General features: G+C 43.0%; 1 protein-coding gene and 1 pseudogene across 24 annotated transcripts in view, besides 1 other annotated feature; one reads left to right on the plus strand and one right to left on the minus strand.

Annotated features, from left to right (window-relative positions):
• Window positions 1-19,885, plus strand: part of TRAK1 (trafficking kinesin protein 1) — a 212,798-nt gene that overhangs the window by 113,662 nt on the left and 79,251 nt on the right. The window lies entirely within an intron of this gene.
• Window positions 8,019-8,180: a silencer, noted in NCBI's record as "fragment chr3:42176265-42176426 (GRCh37/hg19 assembly coordinates)". NCBI's record gives its function as "represses an EF-1alpha promoter that drives an FKBP-Casp9 reporter gene in an ReSE screen in HepG2 liver carcinoma cells {active_cell/tissue: HepG2}" and the evidence as "EXISTENCE:reporter gene assay evidence [ECO:0000049][PMID:32094911]".
• TPMTP2 (thiopurine S-methyltransferase pseudogene 2) lies at window positions 18,754-19,673 on the minus strand (annotated as a pseudogene).

The following is a 19,885-nucleotide window of genomic DNA, read 5'->3' on the forward strand; positions in this document are numbered from 1 at the left end:
TCCAATTTTCTTGAATTTGTGAGATTATTTGTAATAAACAAATTGGTACTGCAAGTTTCTCCTTTAGGGTGTATCTAGGGATGTTTTCAGTTCTCTTTATTAGATATTAATAAGAAAAAGGTTTTGCTTACATTGACCCATAAACCCTACAGAGTCTTTGTGAATACTGCAGATAATCAGTTTCAATATGGATAATAACAGAATAATCCACACCAGGGTAGATATGAAGCATGTTAGAATTGTACTCATATTGAAGTTAAAGCTTTAGAATTTCTAATGTGTCTTGTAGCATATAGGAGGCTCTTAGCAAGTCATTTTGTTGATTCACAACGTCTGTACCACCAAGGAGATATGTGGTATCATATGGAAAACTGAGTCTACAGTAACCTCCTTGGTAGATTTTGTATTTGCTTTTTTCAGACTGTAGACGTCTGCAAAAAAATTCACAAGAGAATAGTAGAGTTTGTAACAGAATTATTTTTTGGGAAATCTCTCTGCGTTACTTACCTTTCCTTAGGAGACCCTCTTGTGATTCTGCAGTACCTATCATGGCCATTTCTCTCACAGGAGGCTCCTGGGTCCCATTCATACACTTTTTTTTTTTTTTTTTTTGGTTGAGACAGGGTTTTGCTCTGTTGCCCAGGCTGGGGTGCAGTGGTGCACATATGGCTTACTGCAGCTTTGACTTCCTGGTCTCAAGCAACCCTCCCACCTTAGCTTCCTGAGTAGCTAGGACTACATGTATGTACCACGTACCACCACGCTCAGCTAATTTTTAATTTTTTTTGGAGAGATGGGGTCTCCCTATGTTGCCCAGGCTGGTGTCAAACTCCAGGCCTCAAACAATCCTCCTGCTTCAGCCTCCCAAAGTGCTAGGAAATCAGGTGTGAGCCACTGCACTTGGCACCATTCACACTTTGATTAATCACTGACATTTACAGTGTAATTGGAAGACCATCCATGGGCAACACCACACAATTTTCAGAGAACATTCACACAAATTGCCTCATTTCATTCCTGTAAAATGCCTACAGTTGGGTAGGGCTGGTTTTATCATAGGTGAAATGGATGTGTGAAAGGCTCAGTGTTTACTCCATGACACTGAGCCACAGTTTCTAAAATCTGTTTAACAGTAGACTTGAGGCCGGGCGTGGTGGCTCACACCTGTAATCCCAGCTCTTTGGGAGGCCGAGGCGGGTGAATCACCTGAGGTTGGGAGTTTGAGACCAGCCTGACCAACGTGGAGAAACCCCATCTCTACTAAAAATATAAAAATTAGCCAGGCATGGTGGCAGATGCCTGTAATCCCAGCTACTTGGGAGGCTGAGGCAGGAGAATCACTTGAACCTGGGAGGCGGAGATTGTGGTGAGCTGAGATCGTGCCATTGTACTCCAGCCTGGGCAACAAGAGCGAAACTCCATCTCAAAACAAACAAACAAACAAACGAAAAAACAAACAGTAGACTTGAACAGAGAGTGAGTGTCTTTTTTGTTTGTTTGCTTTGTTTTTAGTTATACAGTTAAGAAAAAAGGAGAAATCCTGGTAGTAGATAACACAACTTATGATAAAACTGGAAGAACCAAAATAAACATTGAGCAGAGATTCTGAAAGTTCTTAGAGCCTGCTTGCCTCCAAGCCTTAACTTAATTCTGTATCTTCTGTGGTTCCTGTAGTTAGAGCAACATAGCTATTTCCTAAATATCTGTTAATTGAACGATCAGGTGTTAACTCTTAAATACAGGACCCTGTAGAGCAGAGCTCTCTCACTAAGGTCCTGCTACCCCTAAAGGGTCTGTAGAGAGAATTTAGGGGTTCCATGCACTTAAAAAGGAGCAAAAAAATTACTTTTATTTTTATTAACTTCTAACTGAAATGCAGCATTTCCTTTAGTTATGAACATAGACACACATAGGCACAGTGGTATTAGCAGGACCTGTGATATTGTCACCAGTAGAAATCACAGATATTTTCATGTCATGCTTCAGTGGAAGCAGTTACTTTGAATAACTGCCTTTGTTCATCACTGCCATGAAGTTACATTTGTTGTTAAATGTGCTGATAGATCTTTTATTTCATGTCACAGTTGGGTAGAGCTGTTTTGTTATAGGTGAAATGGACGTGTGGAAGGCTGAGTGTTGTGGAATACACTGGAATTCTGTCTTATTTATTTAGATCTTTTATTTCTTTTATTCTTTAATAAAGAAGCACTTATCAGATATCACAGCCTTTTTTTGTCGTTGTTAATATCCCAGAGTTTTTCAAGTTTTAGATGGAATTGTTTTCCTTTTCAGTCCTTTGTATTTTACGTCTTCAAAGCTTTCTCCTGAGGAAAGGGTCTGTGAGCCTTGCCAAACTGGCAGAGCGTCACCAGAAGGCACAGGTTCAGAGTCCTGCTGTGTGCATGGTATCCTTTTTGGGTTTCGTGTGTTTGTTTACACGTGTGTAACCCTGGAGATGCTGTGACTCACCAGTATGTTGTATCAGTTTTGAGGCGTGTGAGAAGACAAGGTAGCCTGCATCGATTAGGGCAGAGGTTCTCGGTTGTGGGCGGGCATGGGGATAAGGAGCGCTGGGGTTCTGATACGCTCCCCTACGTGAGAAATCCTAGAGAAGAGGGCCAGCTACACATTGCTATGCAGATCAGAGCAGACACAGCCCCTTCCTGCACATCCTCCCCCTGAGTGGAGAAACGCGGCTTTACCTTTTAAATTTGGCCCTCACTTGACTTCCTAAGAAGAGGCGAGAAAGCTTTGGGCATCCACCTTTGCCAGGTGGTACAATGACCTTTTCAGAGAAGTTTTAGTGCTTCTCCCAGTCAGGTGGACTTGTAACTCCTGAGTCTGAGAAACACAGAAAATTAAAATGACCCACAAAACAAATATACCCACAACGATGGGACATTTGGGAGAAAGCATAGTCAACGTACGGTACTTGCAGTGTGCTGGGTAATCCTCAGAGTGGCCTGAATTTAATACTCTTGCATTCTGCACATGAGGATGGCGAGGCTCAGGGAAGTTAGGGAAAAGTCACATACCTAGCAAGGTGAGTCAGACCTAGTTTGTCTGGTCTGACTCCATCTCTTACCCAGTATCTCAGATTAGCTACAAAGGGGACAAGAAAACTTCTTGTTTAAGAATGAAATTCATCTGGTGAAATACAAAAAAAGCAAAAACCCCATCAAAACCTTAGTTTCAAAATCTGTCAGTAGCTTATTTATTTATAAATAAATAAAATATATGTCTAACATATTCAAAATTCATTTTTTTTCATGGCTCAGGGCATTGTCCCAAGTGACACTTAGCTTGATACAGCTTAATTTGAAGATGAGGTTTCTTTTTTCCCTGTGATTTTCACCTCCATCCTGTGGCTTGTAGGTCACACTTCCCTAATCCCTGGTGGAAATGACAGTGTGTGCTATAGACTTTTGTAGTCACATAACACGCAGCAGACAGCAGACATGAAAGCTGCTGCATTGGTCTTTAGGTGGCTATGCAACTCTTTTTGGTCCCTTCTTCCAGGGGCTGTTCTATGTAACTTTTTGGTTAAGGAGCATTGATTGAGGGAAAAAAAAAAAAATCCATATCTCACCTGCATATGATCTGCAGACCACCCTCCCTGAGTTTACCTGGAGCAGCTTTTTCCTAAGAAGAGAAGGTTATGAAGCAAATAAGAGTTTCAAAATATTGTTCCATCGTTTGCTTTTACTGTAAAGTAATATTAAGGAATTAGCCAACAGTATTTACTGAGTGACTGGTATTTACCTCTGATCCTTTGAGGACTTGTTTGCATTTCAGCTCAGGTTTTCTGACTAAGGAGATAAAAACATCTCCTGGACTATTTATTTTTTTCCGTGACCTAACCCAAGGACTTTGCACTGGGTTGGACCAATGCAGGCAGCTCTTGAGGCCTTCGGTGCCATCCTACCCTGAGTTGCTTACTTTGCTTATGTGGGAGGAGGGAGGGGGGTCTGGGAACCTGCATATTAAACCAGCTCCCCTTGCCATTTTAACTTTTAAAAATTGAACTTAAAAGTAAACAACAACAACAAAGACCTTTAATCTAGTCCAACCATCATTGTTCACATGGGGCCCCTGAGGTGCGGGGTGCATTGACTTGCTAAGCCTTGCACAGCCAGGGTATGTGGGGCCAGGAATTGTGTGCAGGTCTCCTCACCACTCTAGAGTTGTGTCCATAAAGTAGAACCTACAGTAATATTATTATACCCCCATTTTCACCTTTGCTCATTCACTTGTGTCCACACGGTCACAGACATAGCAAGCGTTTATACGGTTGGTTTTATGGGGCAACGAACCTCATGTTTTTTACTCATGCAGGGCTCATCCCAGGAGAGTGGGAATTTGCTCAAGATAAGGCATGAGGACCCGGAGTATCTGGCATGGAGTTTAACTGGAATCCCTCTACCTCCACCACTGTACCTGGAGGCTCCTGTCTCCCCTCATCCTGTTTGACCCTTGAGCAGGGCCGACACAGTGGTCGCTCCCTTCTGGTCACTCTCCTGGCTTGGCTCCCAGTGCCTCACTTGCCCCCAGAGTTCCCTTTTGTCTCTCTGGACAGTCTTTCCAGCCTCTTTCACCAGTTCTTTCTTTTTCCTCTTCCTCTGAGCTTCCAAATCAGTGGCTGTCAACCCTGATGCACCTAGAGCTTTAAAAAATATAGTCTGCCAGGCGCTGTGGCTCATGCCTGTAATCCCAGCACTTTGGTAGGCTGAGGTGGGTGGATCACCTGAGATCAGGAGTTTGAGACCAGCCTGGCTAACATGGCGAAACTCCATCTCTACTAAAAATACAAAAATTAGCCAGGCATGGTGGCGTGCACCTGTAATCCCAGCTAACTTGGGAGGCTGAGACAGGAGAATCTCTTGAACCCGGGAGGCAGAGGTTGCAGTGAGCCGAGATTGTGCCACTGCACTCCAGCCTGGGTGACAGAGTGAGACTCCATCTCAAAAATGAACAACAAACAAATAAAAATAAATAAAATTTAAAAAAAAAATACAATCCTTGGCCAGGCGTGGTGGCTCACGCCTGTAATCCCATCACTTTAGGAGGCCAAGGCAGGCAGATCATATGAGCCCAGAAGTTCGAGACCAGCCTGGGCAACATGATGAAACCCCATCTCTACAAAAAATTAAAAAAAAAAAAAAAAAAAGCTGGGTGTGATGGTATGCACCTTGTAGTCCCAGCTACTCAGGAGGCTGAGGTGGTAGGATTGCTTGAGCCTAGGAGGTGGACGTTGCAGTGAGCCAAGATCGTGCCACTGCACTCCAGCCTGGGCAACAGAGCGAGACTCTGCCTCAAAAAAAGAAAAAGGAAAAAACCAGCCCTGGAACCAGTCCCCTGCAGATACCAAAATCCATGGATGCTCAAGTCCCTGATATGAAATGGCATAGTATTTGCATTTAACCTGTACACATCTTTCCATATACTCTAAGTCTAGATTACTTGTATTACTTGTAAATGCTATGTTTTTTGTTTTTTTTTTTTTGTTTGGTGTATTTTTTTTTTTTGAGTCAGTCTTCTCCTGTCACCCGGGATGGAGTGAGTGCCTTGGTGCCATCTTGGCTCACTGCATTCTCAACCTCCCAGACTCAAGCCATCCTCCCACCTCAGCCCCCCAGTAGTTGGGACTACAGGCACATGCCACCATGCCTCGCTAACTTTCATATTTTTTTGTAGAGACAGGGTTTTCACCATGTTGCCCAGGCTGGTCTCAAACTCCTTGGCTCAAGCATTCCTCCCACCTCAGCCTCACAAAGTGCTAGGATTATAGGAGTGAGCCACCATGTCCAGCCTAAAATTTTGTATTGTTATTTTATATTGTTTTTTTCCCCCTGAATATTTTTGATCCGTGGTGGATACAGAGGCCTGACTATATATCCTCCCCAGGCCCCACCGTCAGGCATAGTCATTCTAATTGATCCTCAGGTGACTGTGATGTACTCCTCTAAATGTTGGCGTGCCCAGCCTGCTTCTGTCTATATCCTCTCTCCCAAGGCTGTAATACCAGCCACATGTTGGTGACTGCCAAATGTATGCCCACCCTGACCTTCCCTTCCTCCCTCAGCCTCATGTACCCACATACTGAGATTATTAACTCATCCATTGCGGAAAGTGGATTGTTCCCCCTCCACACACATTTGTCTTAATAAATACAACGTGGTTTACCCCATTTCTGTATCCTCCTGGCCATCCACTGGCCCTGTTAATTCTTCCTCCAGATATATCCCAGACCCGTTCTCTGACCTGGCTGCTGCCACCCTTGATGAAGCTACTGCCATCTCATCCCTGGACAGCTGTAACTGCTCTCCCAGCTTCCACTCTTGCTTCTCTGCTGTACTCTTTGGACCCAGCAGCCTGGCTTGTCTTTTTTTGAAATCCAACTGGGTCATGCCGCTCCTTTGTTTCCCATTGCCCTTTGGATAAAATGCGGGGTCTTCGGAGACTCTGTGACCTGGCTCTTGGCTCTATCCAGCCAGCCTCGTTCCACCCTCTCCTTACCCTATAGCAGCCCCACCAGTGCTTCCAGACCCTCGAATACACCAAACTCCCATGACCTTGGATCATGCCGCTCCCTCGCTACCCCTCTTCCTTTTCTTTTTTTGTTTTGTTTTTAAAGTTTTTATTATTTCTCGAGACTGGGTCTTGATATGTTGCCTAGGCTGGCCTCGAACTCCTGGGCTCCAGCAGTCCTCCTGCCTCAGCCTTCTGAGTAGGCTGGGACTACAGGTGCATACTGCTGTGCCCAGCTTCTTTTCTGTTCTTTGGTTCTCAACAGAAGTGTGCTGTCCATGACAAGCCTTCCTTGACCACCCCATCTGTGGCATCCCCCACTTCCGTTGCCTTTTTCCTGCCTTCATAGCTTTCATCAATCTTTATTTGCTTATGTAAAGATAACCAATAATTATAATAATGACTCACATCTACTGAGTGCTTACCACTTGCCAGCGTTGTGCTAAATGCTTTACCTTTACGAGCACTGCAGGACATAGACACTAGATTTGTTGTAGTGCATAATCCTCTTTTTGTTTAAACAATTTTTCAAATATATTACAATTGTTTTATCTAAATTGAATTGGCCTTTTAATCCTTGTTTCAAGATATTAAAGTTAGTTTATGCAGATGTAACACTTTTTTTATAGCAATGTAAATGGACTAAAAATTTTTTTAAAAAGAATACTTTTAATACTATTGATGAAATAATAAACACATTGATATAATTACATTAATAAGCAAAACAGGCGTGAACAGACAGGTTGGGAACACACACATGACCATTTTTCCACTGGGAAAATGCTCAATTCACAAGAGCCCAGATGCCTAGGCACATGAGACAGTGGTCAGCTGGTCGGCAGTATCAGCAGGCTGTGGGCCTTTCCTTCCTTCCTCCCCTTCCCCTTCCCCTTCCTCTTCCCCTTCCCCCTCCCCTTCCCCTTCCCCCCTCCCCTCCTCTCCTCTCCCCTTCCCTCCCCTCCCCTTTCCTCCTTTCTTCCTTACCTTTCCTTTCCTTTTACCTTACCTTACCTTACCTTAATCTTGCTCTGTTGCCCAGGCTGGAGTGCAGTGGTGGCAATCACAGCTCACTGCAGCCTTGACCTCTTGGCCTCAAGTGATCCTTCTGTCTCAGCCTCCCGAGTAGCTGGGACTGCAGGTGCATGCCACCATGCCCAGCTAGTTTTAAAATGTTTTGTAGAGACAAGGTTTCACCATGTTGCCTCGGCTGTCTCACGCTCCTGGCCTCAAGTGATCCACCTGCCTTGGCCTCCCAAAGTGCTGGGATTACAGGTGTTAGCCACCATGCCTGGTCTCTTTTTTTTTTTTTTTTTTTTTTTTTTGAGACAGAGTCTCGCTCTGTTGCCCAGGCTAGATTGCAGTGGTGCGATCTCAGCTCACTGCAAGCTCTGCCTCCTGGGTTCACGCCATTCACCTGCCTCAGTCTCCTGAGTAGCTGGGACTACAGGCGCACGCCCGGCTAATTTTTTTGTATTTTTAGTAGAGACGGGGTTTCACTGTGTTAGCCAGGATGGTCTCGATCTCCTGACCTCGTGATCCACCCACCTCGGCCTCCCACAGTGCTGGGATTACAGGCATGAGCCACTGCACCTGGCCTTTTTTTTTTCTTTAGAGACAGTCTTGCTCTGTCACCCAGGCTGGAGTGCAGTGGCATTAATTATAGCTTACTGCAGCCTCGAACTCCTGGCCTCAAGCAATCCTCCTGCCTTTCCTTCCCAAAGCTATGAAATTGCAGACAGGAGCCACCATGCCTGGCTGGTTTTTGGGGGCCATGGCAAGTGCAGGCTTGTCAGAGGAATTGGAGAAGCAGGGATTAGTTAGGAAAACCTCTCCACTTCTTGTGTTTCATGCCAGGTAGTGTTTGTAACTTCAGAACCCGCCCTTACCTTACCTACCTACCATGTTATGCTCATTTCACCTACTGTCCCCTGCTGTATAGGGAGTGCCTTGAGGGCAGAGATCATGTTAGTTTTGTTCCCTCTTCTGTACAGAGGGTGGAGCCCAGTACCTGGCACAGCTGAAGGAGGAATGTGCTGCTGCTGTCTCTGTATTTCCAGGTACTCCTTGTTGACCTCTAGCCAAGACAAGGAACCTCCTTATGAGATGTCATCTTCTGAGCTCTCTTGATGGAGGGAATACCACGGTGATGATTGAATATGAAAAGTCTTGGCACAGTGGCTCACACCTGTAATCCCAACACTTTGGGTGGCCGAGGTGGGAGGATTGCTTGAAGCCAGGCATTGAGACCATCCTTGGCCACCAAACGAGACCCCATCTCTACAAAAAAAGAAAAACAAAACCAAAAAAACATGAAAAGTCTCATCCAGGGTATTTCCCACTGGGAGTTTTACTTTCGGCCTGTGTTTGTGTGGAATTGGACTGTGTGTGGGAACATCCCAGCTCTCTTCCTCGTCTGACTAGTCATCCCTGGCTTTTTGTCTTTGTTTTTAGCTAAGTCCCTTTTTCTTTTTGGTGTGGTTAGATGTGGTCATCTGTCAGTGCTCTGGCTTGGGGTCTTCTCTTGCCTACATCTTCTTTGCTTTGGCTGTTGCCTCTCTGCAGGTGATGGCTACGTTTCTCTCTACTGCCTGAATATGTTGCCAGAATGTCATAGAAACTGAACGTGTGCTTGCCATCCTCACACTAGCTGTTCTTACCACCTGCCCGACTTCCATAGAAACTCGGGGTGGACATGCGCCAGGCCCTCACCAATGACCCTGTCCATTCTCATAGGTGCCTTCCCCTGTTCTCCTAAATCCATCGATGCTAAGTTTGTACCTCAGTCCTGGTTCTGAAACCTGTTTCTCTATCATCATAAAGAAATCATGGAACCTCTGTGTACTTTGGTTTACTTTTTTGGTGGGTTTAAGGAAGATTCTGTGACTTCATTGGTGATGACATGGCATTGGGAGATAGGGTCCATTTCTGATTTTCAGAGTGAGGAAGCAGGCATGTGTGTTACTGTTTTAGAGAATTGTGGCACCTACCCTGTTCTTCAGCTCTTGGTACCTGGCCTTGTAATGAACACGAATGATCTTTAAAAGAAGTTAGATTTTAAAAATAATATTTTTGTGGCTCACACTTATAATCCCAGTGCTTTGGGAGGCCTAGGCAGGAGGATTGCTTGAGACAAGGCATTTGAGACCAAGCTGGGCAACATAGGGAAACCCCCATCACTATAAAAAAATGTTTAAAAATTACCCAGGCGGTGCATACCTGTAGTCCTAGCTACTCAGGAGGCTAAGGTGGGCGGGTCACTTAAGCCAGGAGTTCGAGGCTGTAGTGAGCTGTGATCATGCCAGTGCATTCCAGCCTGGGCAATTGAGTGAGACACTGTTTCAATACAAAAGAAAAATAAATAAAAAATAAATAAATAAATAAATAAATAACATTTCTTTTCTTTCTTTTTGTTTTTTTTGAGATGAAGTCTGGCTCTGTTGCCCAGGCTGGAGTGCAGTGGCGTGTTCTTGGCTCACTGCAATCTCCACCTCCTGGGTTCAAGTGATTTTCCTGCCTCAGCCTCCCGAGTAGCTGGGATTACAGGCACATGACACCACACCAGGCTAATTTTTGTGTTTTTAGTAAAGACAGGGTTTCACCCTGTTGGCCAGGCTGGTCTCAAACTCCTGACCTCAGGTGATCCACCTCAGGCTCCCAAAGTGCTGGGATTACAGGCGTGAGCTACCGTGCCTGGACAAAATAATATTTCTATCACAAAAGTATGCTGATTTTAGGTGATTTGAAAATAAAAACAAAAAGATGACTAACATAGTAACCACCACTCACTTTTTGTGAGATTTTTTTCTAGATTTTTTTTTTCTGCAACACATTTATTTAAGGACATAATGCATTTTAAATAAATATTGTATGTTGACCATTTCCTTTGGCATTAAATTTCTTGAAAAACACAATTTTCAGCATTGCTTAATATTCTGTCATTTATATTTGACCATTCATCTATTATTAGGAATCCAGGCTATTTCTGTTTCTTCCCCAAATAACACATGGGTGAATACCCTTTTACTTCTGGATATCAGGCCAGATAGTACTTACAAGCAATTTGCCTGAAAACACTGAATTTGGTTATTTAAGAAGCCTGAACACATCCTAAAGATTTTTTTATCCGATACCTGAGGAGGGATGTCTTACCTCTTTCTTAGTTTGTGCAGGTTGTTATTCATTAGTGAATGTTTGGAAAATAACAAACAGGTAATGGTCAGGAAGGTGATGACTAAAGTTTATGTGAATATGGCATATCATTTCAAGAAAGATGGGTTTTTTCCCTTAAACTCAAAGTTATCAAGAGATCAACTTCTCAAACTTTGGACCAAGGGCAGTTTTGTGGGGGAAAGCAGTAACGTATGCTATTTGTGGAGTTTAGCTAGAATTGATAGATGCACCTGATCCCTGTGGAGTAGTTGATATCTCTGTGTGGGTTGGGTAACGCTGCTTTATAGTGAAGCTTTTCTTCTTCCAAGTGCCTCTGAGAGGAGAGAAAGTGGTTGGAGACCCACCAGTCCTGCGTTAGAGGGCCATTTCTCCATCATCCACGGACTAAATATGTGACCTTGAGCAAATCACTTATCACTGCATTGGGACTCGGTTTCTTATCTGGAAATTAATCAGCATTAAATATTTTATGGTTCTCTGAATGTTTCTTTGAGAGATTTTCACTCTCTAGTTAATGGTATCCCATGATGAAGTTTTTTAAAATTGTTTTTTGTTTTATGACCATTTCTTAATTTGAGTTTCTCTGTATTGCAAAATAGGCATTAAGAGAATAGGGACCTTTAATTTTTGTTTTATAGAAATTGTAGTGTGGTTTTCTTTTTCAAATGCAAGTGCTGTTAAATTGCTTTCAGGTGATAATGTAGGAACATCTTATAAGTATTCTCAGAACCCTATAGACATATGCACTTAACTCTCTAAGCATGTTTTAAATTACACAGGACTTTTCTTGTTAAGATATAGATATGTACAAGGCTTAAATTCTAGTAGATTACAAATCGTCGAAAATAATTTTCATCTTCAGAGAGTAAATTAATGGAGCAGAGTCCATGTCTGCTTGAATGGGCCAATATCCTCTTCCCAGGGCGTTGTATTGAATAGGTGCCTAATGAATGCTTCTTAAATAAGCGAAAATGCAAAGACATATTTTTAAATTTAAAAAATAAGCTTTCTCCTTCCTTATCTTTTTCCATAAAAACAAAACAAGATTTAAAACTCATGTATAGAATAACAAGATCGTTTTATTTGTTGCCACTTTCCAAAGATTGCCTTCATTTTAATTAAAATCCTAAGTGAAACAAAAATAGAGACACTGGCCAGATGTGGCGGCTCACACCTATAATCCCAGCACTCCCGGGGGCTGAGGCAGGAGGATTGCCTGAATCCAGGAGTTCGAGACCAGCCTGGGGAACATGGTGAGGCTCCATATCTATTAAAAAAAAAAAAAAAAAGTACAGACACCACAAAATGCAGTACACCTATATAAATTAAATGAATAAATAGCACACAGTGCTGACCTTCTGAAGGGGAGTGTGGTCATAATTTTATTATTTTATGAGGTGGTGACCTAAAAGAAAGCATAGGGGGTGTGTGTGTGTGTGTGTGTGTGTGTGTGTGTGTGTGTGTGTGTGTGTTTGGAGGAGGGGTACCTCTTGGAACATCAAAGAGTCTGTTGTCACCTAGACGTGTGCGTGGTGAGGCAGGGTTGAATGAAGGAAGGAAGGATAAATTATTGGGGTGGAGTAGGGGTTGTGCTGAGTTGGAAAGGGGATCTAATTCCCAGGAACTTTTCATTATCATCTGCTAACAAAGCTAATGGCAAGATGTATACATTATAATGTATTTATAAGTAGTTATCAAGAATTTCTTTTGTGTAAATGCCCAAGTACTCTGGCTGTGTCCTTTCTGTCATCCCTAAGCTCTGGGGCCATTTTGTTTACAGGCAAGGACCTAAGTGAGCCCTGAGAATTGTGCCTTCTCTTCTCTTACTGCTCACGTATGCGGTCTCTTTCTTGGGCCCATTTTTCACCACTGTTAGTTGACACAGACGTCTGCAGGATCAAAGGTAGAAGCAGAGACACCCTGGAGCACAGTCACTTTCTCTACATTAGCCAAATGCAGTCATGATGCCTCCACCCAGGTGTGGGCCTGGGTCTCAGGTGCTGAGTGGAATTGAGGGTGCCCGTCTTGGGGAAGTAATCAAAGGCAGCCTCATACCAGGGTGCACGACAGCACCAGGAGCCTTTCACAGTGTCTAGTGAGCACTGCAGCCAGGTACTCATACTGGTCAGCAGACCTACCCTCATGGTCCCTGGGCTTACTTACTTTGTCACCTGTCACCTGCCAGGTTTCATTTTTTGTCATCAAACCCGATTCCAATGTTGAGTATTTATTTTTTTCTTTTTAAGAAGAAAAATGCCTGGCAAGCAATTCTGTACAGATTTTTCTTTTTCATGTTATTTCAGCATATCTAAGACAAAGCTGGAACGGACTCAGGTGGGAAATTGACATGACAGCTCAGCTCACACTCCACCTCCCGTGATGGGCCCAGGCTACTGTGGTTCAGCTGAGTTTTGGCGTGAATGGAATACGGGGCCGTTTGAGCTTCTGGTTCACTTGTGTTTTGAGGCCTGTGGCACCTGCTACGTGACTTGCTGGACATAGGTGTGAGATTTCCCATACAGCCTCCCAGGCTGGCAGGAGGCAGACTCAGAACCATGCAGGCCGTGTACTGATGCTACCACACCCAAGCCCTTTTTCTTCTCTCTGTCCTTCTCAGAGGTAGGGTTGATTTTAATGAGAACTACATCGAGGCCAGGATGCACGTTGGCTCCTCAGTGCTCTGCCAAATGCCATCTCCCTGCTTTTGGATATGTTCTCTAAAAGCCAAGCTTTGTTCCCCCACCTTCCCCTGGAGGTGGGTTGGTGCCTGTGCCTGAAATGAGGAGGAGATGGTTTGGGAGGGGGTAGTTGACAGCAAGCTGTTCATTAGCAGTCTGCCTTCTGCCGTGGGTGCTCAGTGACTGGCAGCGGCAACATTTTAAAAAATAAAGATCAGGCTGGGCGCAGTGGCTCATGCCTGTAATCCCAGCATTTTGGGAGGCTGAGGCAGGCGGATCATGAGGTCAGGAGATCGAGACCATTCTGGCTCGATGGTGAAACCCCGTCTCTACTAAAAATACAAAAATTAGCCACGCGTGGTGGCACATGCCTGTAGTCCCAGCTACTCGGGAGGGTGAGGCAGGAGAATTGCTTGAACCCGGGAGGTGGAGGTTGCAGTGAGCCGAGATCGCACCGCTGCACTCCAGCCTGGGCGACAGAGTGAGACTCCATCTCTGAATAAATGAATAAAATAAAGATCAGAAAGAGAACTCTGCAGAAAGAAGCACCCTGCTCAGTTAATTTTCTGAAGCAAGTGGAAGGAAGTCCTGCTTGTAAGGCTGTCTTTCATGTGAGTCCTATGGCCCCCTCAAGGACGGAAGGTTAGGAAGCCTCTTCCGGGTCTTCCTCTCTTCTGCCATAGGCTTCTTGGCTGGCCCGGCATACAGGTGCCCTGACTAACAGGGAGGAAAGCTCTGGAGTCTGGAAGCAGGTTCCAGAGGGGGGTTGGGACCTCGGAGGGCTCTGTGTGCTAGCAGTAAGGTGGAGCACTGGGGATGCATAGGAATTGGGAAGTTGTTTTGTTCAGATGGCCACATCGGGGCCTGGGCATGCCTGTGCTGATCACCTGTGAGGCATGGGGGAAGGTGGGATGCGGCAATATCTGTGAGGTCTGAGACACTCGGGCAAACTCATAACTGCATCATTTATATACTTTATTGCTCAATTGTTAGTGTTCATTCATCTTTTTAATATATTATATAAATTGAAATATTCATATACTCACCCAACTAATAAGTACAAACTTAGAAATTTTATTAAATTCTTTTAAACATTTAAATTTGATTACAAATATGTTTAATTGGATCTGCCTTAACATCACAGACCAAATCTATTAGATTCTCTTAAATGCTTACAAAAGAGAACATGTAGTTCTAGTAATGACAGCAAAACTCCTGATACTCACACTTAATATAAGCATCAGTACTGTGGGTTTAATTCATTTCTTTGTGAATTTCTGAATCTGTTTTATATTTTTCCAGTGATCTAGTAATCTTAATAGATATTAAAGAAAATACGATCTCAGCAGCTGTGTTAGATTCCTAGGGCTGCCGTAACAAATTACCACAAACTTGGTGGCTTAAGACAATAGAAATTTATTCTCTCACAGTTCTGGAGGCCAGAGGTCCAAAGTCAAGGTGTTGGTACTGTTGGTTCCTTCTGGACACTCTGAGGGAGAATCTGTTCCCTGCCCCTCTTGCAGTTTCTGGTGGCTGCCGGCCATCCTCGACATTGCTAGGTTTGTGGCCGCATCTCTCCAGGTTCTGCTCTGTCTTCACGTTGCCCTCTCCTCTGTGGGCGTTTTCTCCTCTTCTCCTCTGAGGACACTTGTCATTGGATTTAGGGCCCACCTCAATCCAGGATGATGTCATCTCAAGACTTTTAACTGAATTACACCAGCAGGGCCGGGCACGGTGGCTCATGCCTGTAATCCCAGCACTTTGGGAGGCCGAGGCAAGCAGATCACTTCAGGTCAGGAGTTCGAGACCAGCCTGGCTAACATGACGAAAACCTGTCTCTACCAAAAATACAAAAAATTAGCCGGGCATGGTGGCGCATGCCTCCCGGCTACTCAGGAGGCTGAGGCAGGGGAATCGCTTGAACCTGGGAAGTGGAGGTTGCAGTGAGCTGAGATTGCGCCACTGCACTCCAGCCTGGGTGACAGAGTGAGACTCTGTCTTAAAAAACAAAACAAAACAAAAAAAGAAGAAAATGAATTACACCTGCAAAGACCTTTTTTCCACCTTCACAGCTTCCAGGTGGACATTATCTTTGGAGGGGCCACCTTCAACCTGATGTCTTTTCCTGAAATTACAGATTATTTATCTTTGGCGACTTGTGGTTGTGACCTGGTGTCCCATCCAAATGACACACTTCACCTGGAACATGTTTGAAAACATGTACGAGTTTTGTTAGTGTCTTACTGTTATCATTAGCAGCTTTTATTGAGCTTTTATTTTCTAGGAATTTGGGGCCCCAGTGTGGGCAGTCAGCTCTCCTCTGGAGCCCTCTGGCCAATCCGTCACCTTACAGCCCTGGGGCTGATCCTGCTCCTACCCGAGTATAGTCTGTGCCCACAGCATCAGACCTTTCTGTTCTTGATACTTGCTTCCTCCTTCCATGTAGGGTTGGCTTATTCAGAGCCATCCTACTTAGAGACATATTTGTACACTGTTTTATAAAAGGTATTAGTGGCAGAAACAGCAGTCATACACATCCACCTCTGCTGCTTCCTAAAATGGATTAAAAATAACTTCCTAATATATTCTCCCTTCCTTTATATATCAGTTGCCCTGTTCACTTGGTTGCCCTTTTCATTTTGATAGTCATTGAAGATTCATGGCCTTTACAGACTCACCTTGTCTCTTCTAACCGTTATTAACTCTGTACTCTTTTGGATATTCAAATTGTCACAACACAGTGCATGGTACGTGCATGGTAGTCCTTTTAAGATGGCTTTTATATACCTTATCACTTCTACCTCAGACCTTTTGAAGTGGTCTTTGCTTTCTTGAAACCTGGTGTTGCAGGTCCCTCTTGATTTTTCCCTGCCCGAAGACTTGGAATCAGCCACTCTACAAGGAGCCCTGTTAAGGTCTAACCTAAATCTGGGCACCAGAATGTTGACTTGCTGCTGATGGATTGGAGGGCTGTCCTTGTTGAGCCACTTGTGTGACAGAGCTGGAAAGAGTTGTTTTGTTTGTTTGTTTTTAATATCATGAAGTTACATAGATATTTTCAGTTTAACTCTCACTTTCCTGATCATTTATTTTGTTCTTTAAAAAAAAAAAACTTCTCAATTTGTTTTCTCTGTGAGGTGCTAACTTGAATCTTTATCTTCTTTAATTGTACCTCTTCTTTTTTTTTTTTTTCTTTCAAATTCCATTAGCAAATAATCCTTGGATGCTTTTTCATTCACTTATTGAGAAGTGGAAAAGGCTTAGGACGGGGATCATTCCTGGTTTATATCCAGATGCTTTTGGTATTCTCTGTGCAATCCTGGGCAAGTGACTTAAGCCACTAAGACCCCTTTCCTTGTCTCCACAATGAGGGAGCCATTAGGTCGCAGGGGTCTGAGGAGTAAGTGAGATATAAAGTATTAAATGCCAGGTATACAGTCAGCACTTTCTAAATGGGGCAGCCGAAGATGCGGTGACTAAGGAATGGCTGACCAGTGGCTGTGAGGCTTACCCGAGACGGCTCCTGGGACCTGTTTTTATTCCTGACTTTCTAGTGGCAGTGATGGAGGAGTGTCAGGTCATGGTAGGGAGGAGGCTGCTTTTTCGGCTGCAGTAAACCTGGGCCGAGGGAGGGCTGTAACCCTCAGGAGTGTTGGGACTCTTGGTGTGAAGGAAAGTGGATTTGATGTCAGATAGACTTGGATTTTAATTGTGAAACTCTTCACAGAGCTATGGACAGATTACTTTGTCTTTCCAAGCATATGAAATACTTTTGGTGTAGTTCACTTTGAAATTGCTTGAAGCTCGTAAAAATCACCCCTAAATGATGCTGTTTCCTTTGTGCTTATTTATACATTGTTTTGTTTCTTTCCTATTTTCTTAAAAAGTGAATTGGATATGTGCAGCTTTGGACTTAATTCAAGCTGTGCTCAATAATGTGTTGTCACTGTTTAGAAATGGTGCCTCGCTCCCTACCTCACCCCACCTGTCACTCCTGCTCATTACTGTGAACTCAGTGCCTTTGAATCAGTTATGTTGGAAAAAGCTTATAAATGGCATTTCTACCTCATTTCCCTAATTGTAGCTTAGGAATTTGTACCCCCTTTTTAATTGTTCATTTCCTGGCTTATTTCCCTTAAAAAAAAAAAGAAAGATTAGAGTGATGAAGATGATCACAACTAACATTTATTGCAAACTCTCTTTGTCCCAGGCACTGTGCTAAGTGCTCTGCCATACACTAATTGATTATAGCTTCCCCTGTCTCTGTGGAATGTATTATAATCACCCCCATTTAGCAGATGAGACTGATGTTATCTAATAAGGTCACAGACATGGAAAACAAAGAGCCTGTACCAAACCTCAGACCATCTGACTCCAAAAGCCCATGCTCTTAACTATGAAATCTGTTATTTTTTACTTGTTTTATGGTAATGGGGTAGGAATAAAATGTTAAAAAAATTCATAGTGCTGTAAGGTAAATGTGCCAAGTATTATTTAAGGGGTTTCTATCAAAACAAAAAAGCAAGCAAATAAGGGATTTGTATCCTTGTATATTTTTTTTTAACTTTAACAAAATTTATTCTTATAATTTGAGAATATATTGTTCCATATAAATTGTATTATTTCATTAAAATGTATTTGTTTCTTGTTTCTGTTACATATAAAATTGTACTGGAGAAAACATTTGCAAAGAGATGGCTAGGATTTCAGTAAAAGACAAAGGTTTATAGTGAAAGCTAATCTTTTATATAGCTCTTGGGATTAGTTGAACCCTGCTGAAGTATTACATTTCTTCAATTATTCTAAATTTCATAGAATGTCAGTTTTTCTATGTCTATTATATTTAAGTAATATTCATTGCATTGTTCTTTTATTTTTTAATTATACAAGTAATACATGCGGATTGATTGGTAAAAAGTCTTGCAGTCTGTAAGCAAGACACACAGTCATAATCTTCCACCTCCTCGCCTCCCCAAAGGAGCTACTTTAACATTTTAGTATCTATTTTCTTCTAAAAAGATATATGCAGTTTTGAAAATTGAACAACTGCCTAATTAAGAATGGGCAAAGGGAGCCAACCGTGGTGGCCCACGCCTGTAATTCCAGCACTTCGGGAGGCCAAGGTGGGCAGATCACTTGAGGTCAGGAGTTTGAGACCAGCCTGGCCAACATGGTGAGACCCCATCTCTACTAAAAATACAAAAAATTAGCTGGGTGTGGTGGCACACACCTTTAATCCCAGCTACTTGGGAGGCCGAGGCATGAGAATCCCTTGAACCTAAGGTCAGAGGTTGCAGTGAGCCAAGATTGTGCCACTGCACTCCAGCTTGGACAACAGAGTGAGACTCTGTCTCAAAAAAAAAAAAAAAACCTATGTGCGTTTTTGAACAAAGATCTTTGATATGATTTGTAAACAATAAAAAATTTATGCATTACATTTTCATGCCTTAGCATAATTTTCAATTGCTGAAACTCAAAAACATGTTGATGTTACTTGATTTTGTTTACATCTGATTTACTTTTCTGTAAGTAGATATAACTTTTCAAAAATGTAGTCAATTTGCCAACTTTCATGTTGTTCTTCAAAACCATCAATCATCTCAAGACAATGAATATTGCATATTGTACTGAACAACCTTTCAATTTCAGCATGTGGAACATAAGCTAGTGGGCCTGCATGTTTAGTTGGGTCATAAGAAAGAACACACTCGAGGTACTGAAACCCTTTTCCCAGTAGGGACAACATTGTATCTGCATAGTGTTTGAAATCTCCTAGATTAATGGCAGCCAGTGCTCCTCTATCCCAAATTCTGTCAAATTTGTCGATATGTGTTTGGGGAAGATAATAAATGCTGCAACAGTACAATGAAATGTTCTCTGAAGAACTCTTAAATACTTTGGCTTCAGGAACTTTGCTAATTGGTTCTTCTGAGTAAGAAAGATTCTGCTCTGTAAAAAATTCTTGTATCCCAAGTGCACTGATTTATACACCAACTACATTGTGTCCTTGGTCTGCAAACCATTTCATCTCAACAAGGAGGAAAAAATACCTTCAGTCTACTCTCACCTTTAAGAAAAGTATCCAAATGCGTCTTCAATAGCTGATGTCCTTGTTCTTGATGAAAAGCAATATTGCCGTTCACCCACTTGTCTTGCCATTCTTCCAGAGTTCGTACTTGGTTTTCCTGACCTCAGTATTGGGATACTTTTCCATATCAAATGAAGCTCTTGTATCATCCATAGTTTCATAGACACCATTGTCTCATAAATGTATGTTTTTTAATGCCTTTACTGGTTTATTACAAAGGATACTGTGAAGGATACAGATGAAGAGGCTCCAGGAACCTCCATGTGTTCAGCTATTAGGAAGTTTGTCTGACTTTCATGTGATGCTTTGAGGAGTTTGCATTTCCTGTTCCTTTATTTTATTTTTTTAGTTTTTGGGGTAAGGTCTCACTCTGTCACCCAGGCTGCAGTGCAGTGGCATGATCACATCTCACTGCAACTTT

This window comes from Homo sapiens, chromosome 3, assembly GCF_000001405.40.
Source record: "Homo sapiens chromosome 3, GRCh38.p14 Primary Assembly".
In the NCBI taxonomy this organism is placed as follows: domain Eukaryota; kingdom Metazoa; phylum Chordata; class Mammalia; order Primates; family Hominidae; genus Homo; species Homo sapiens.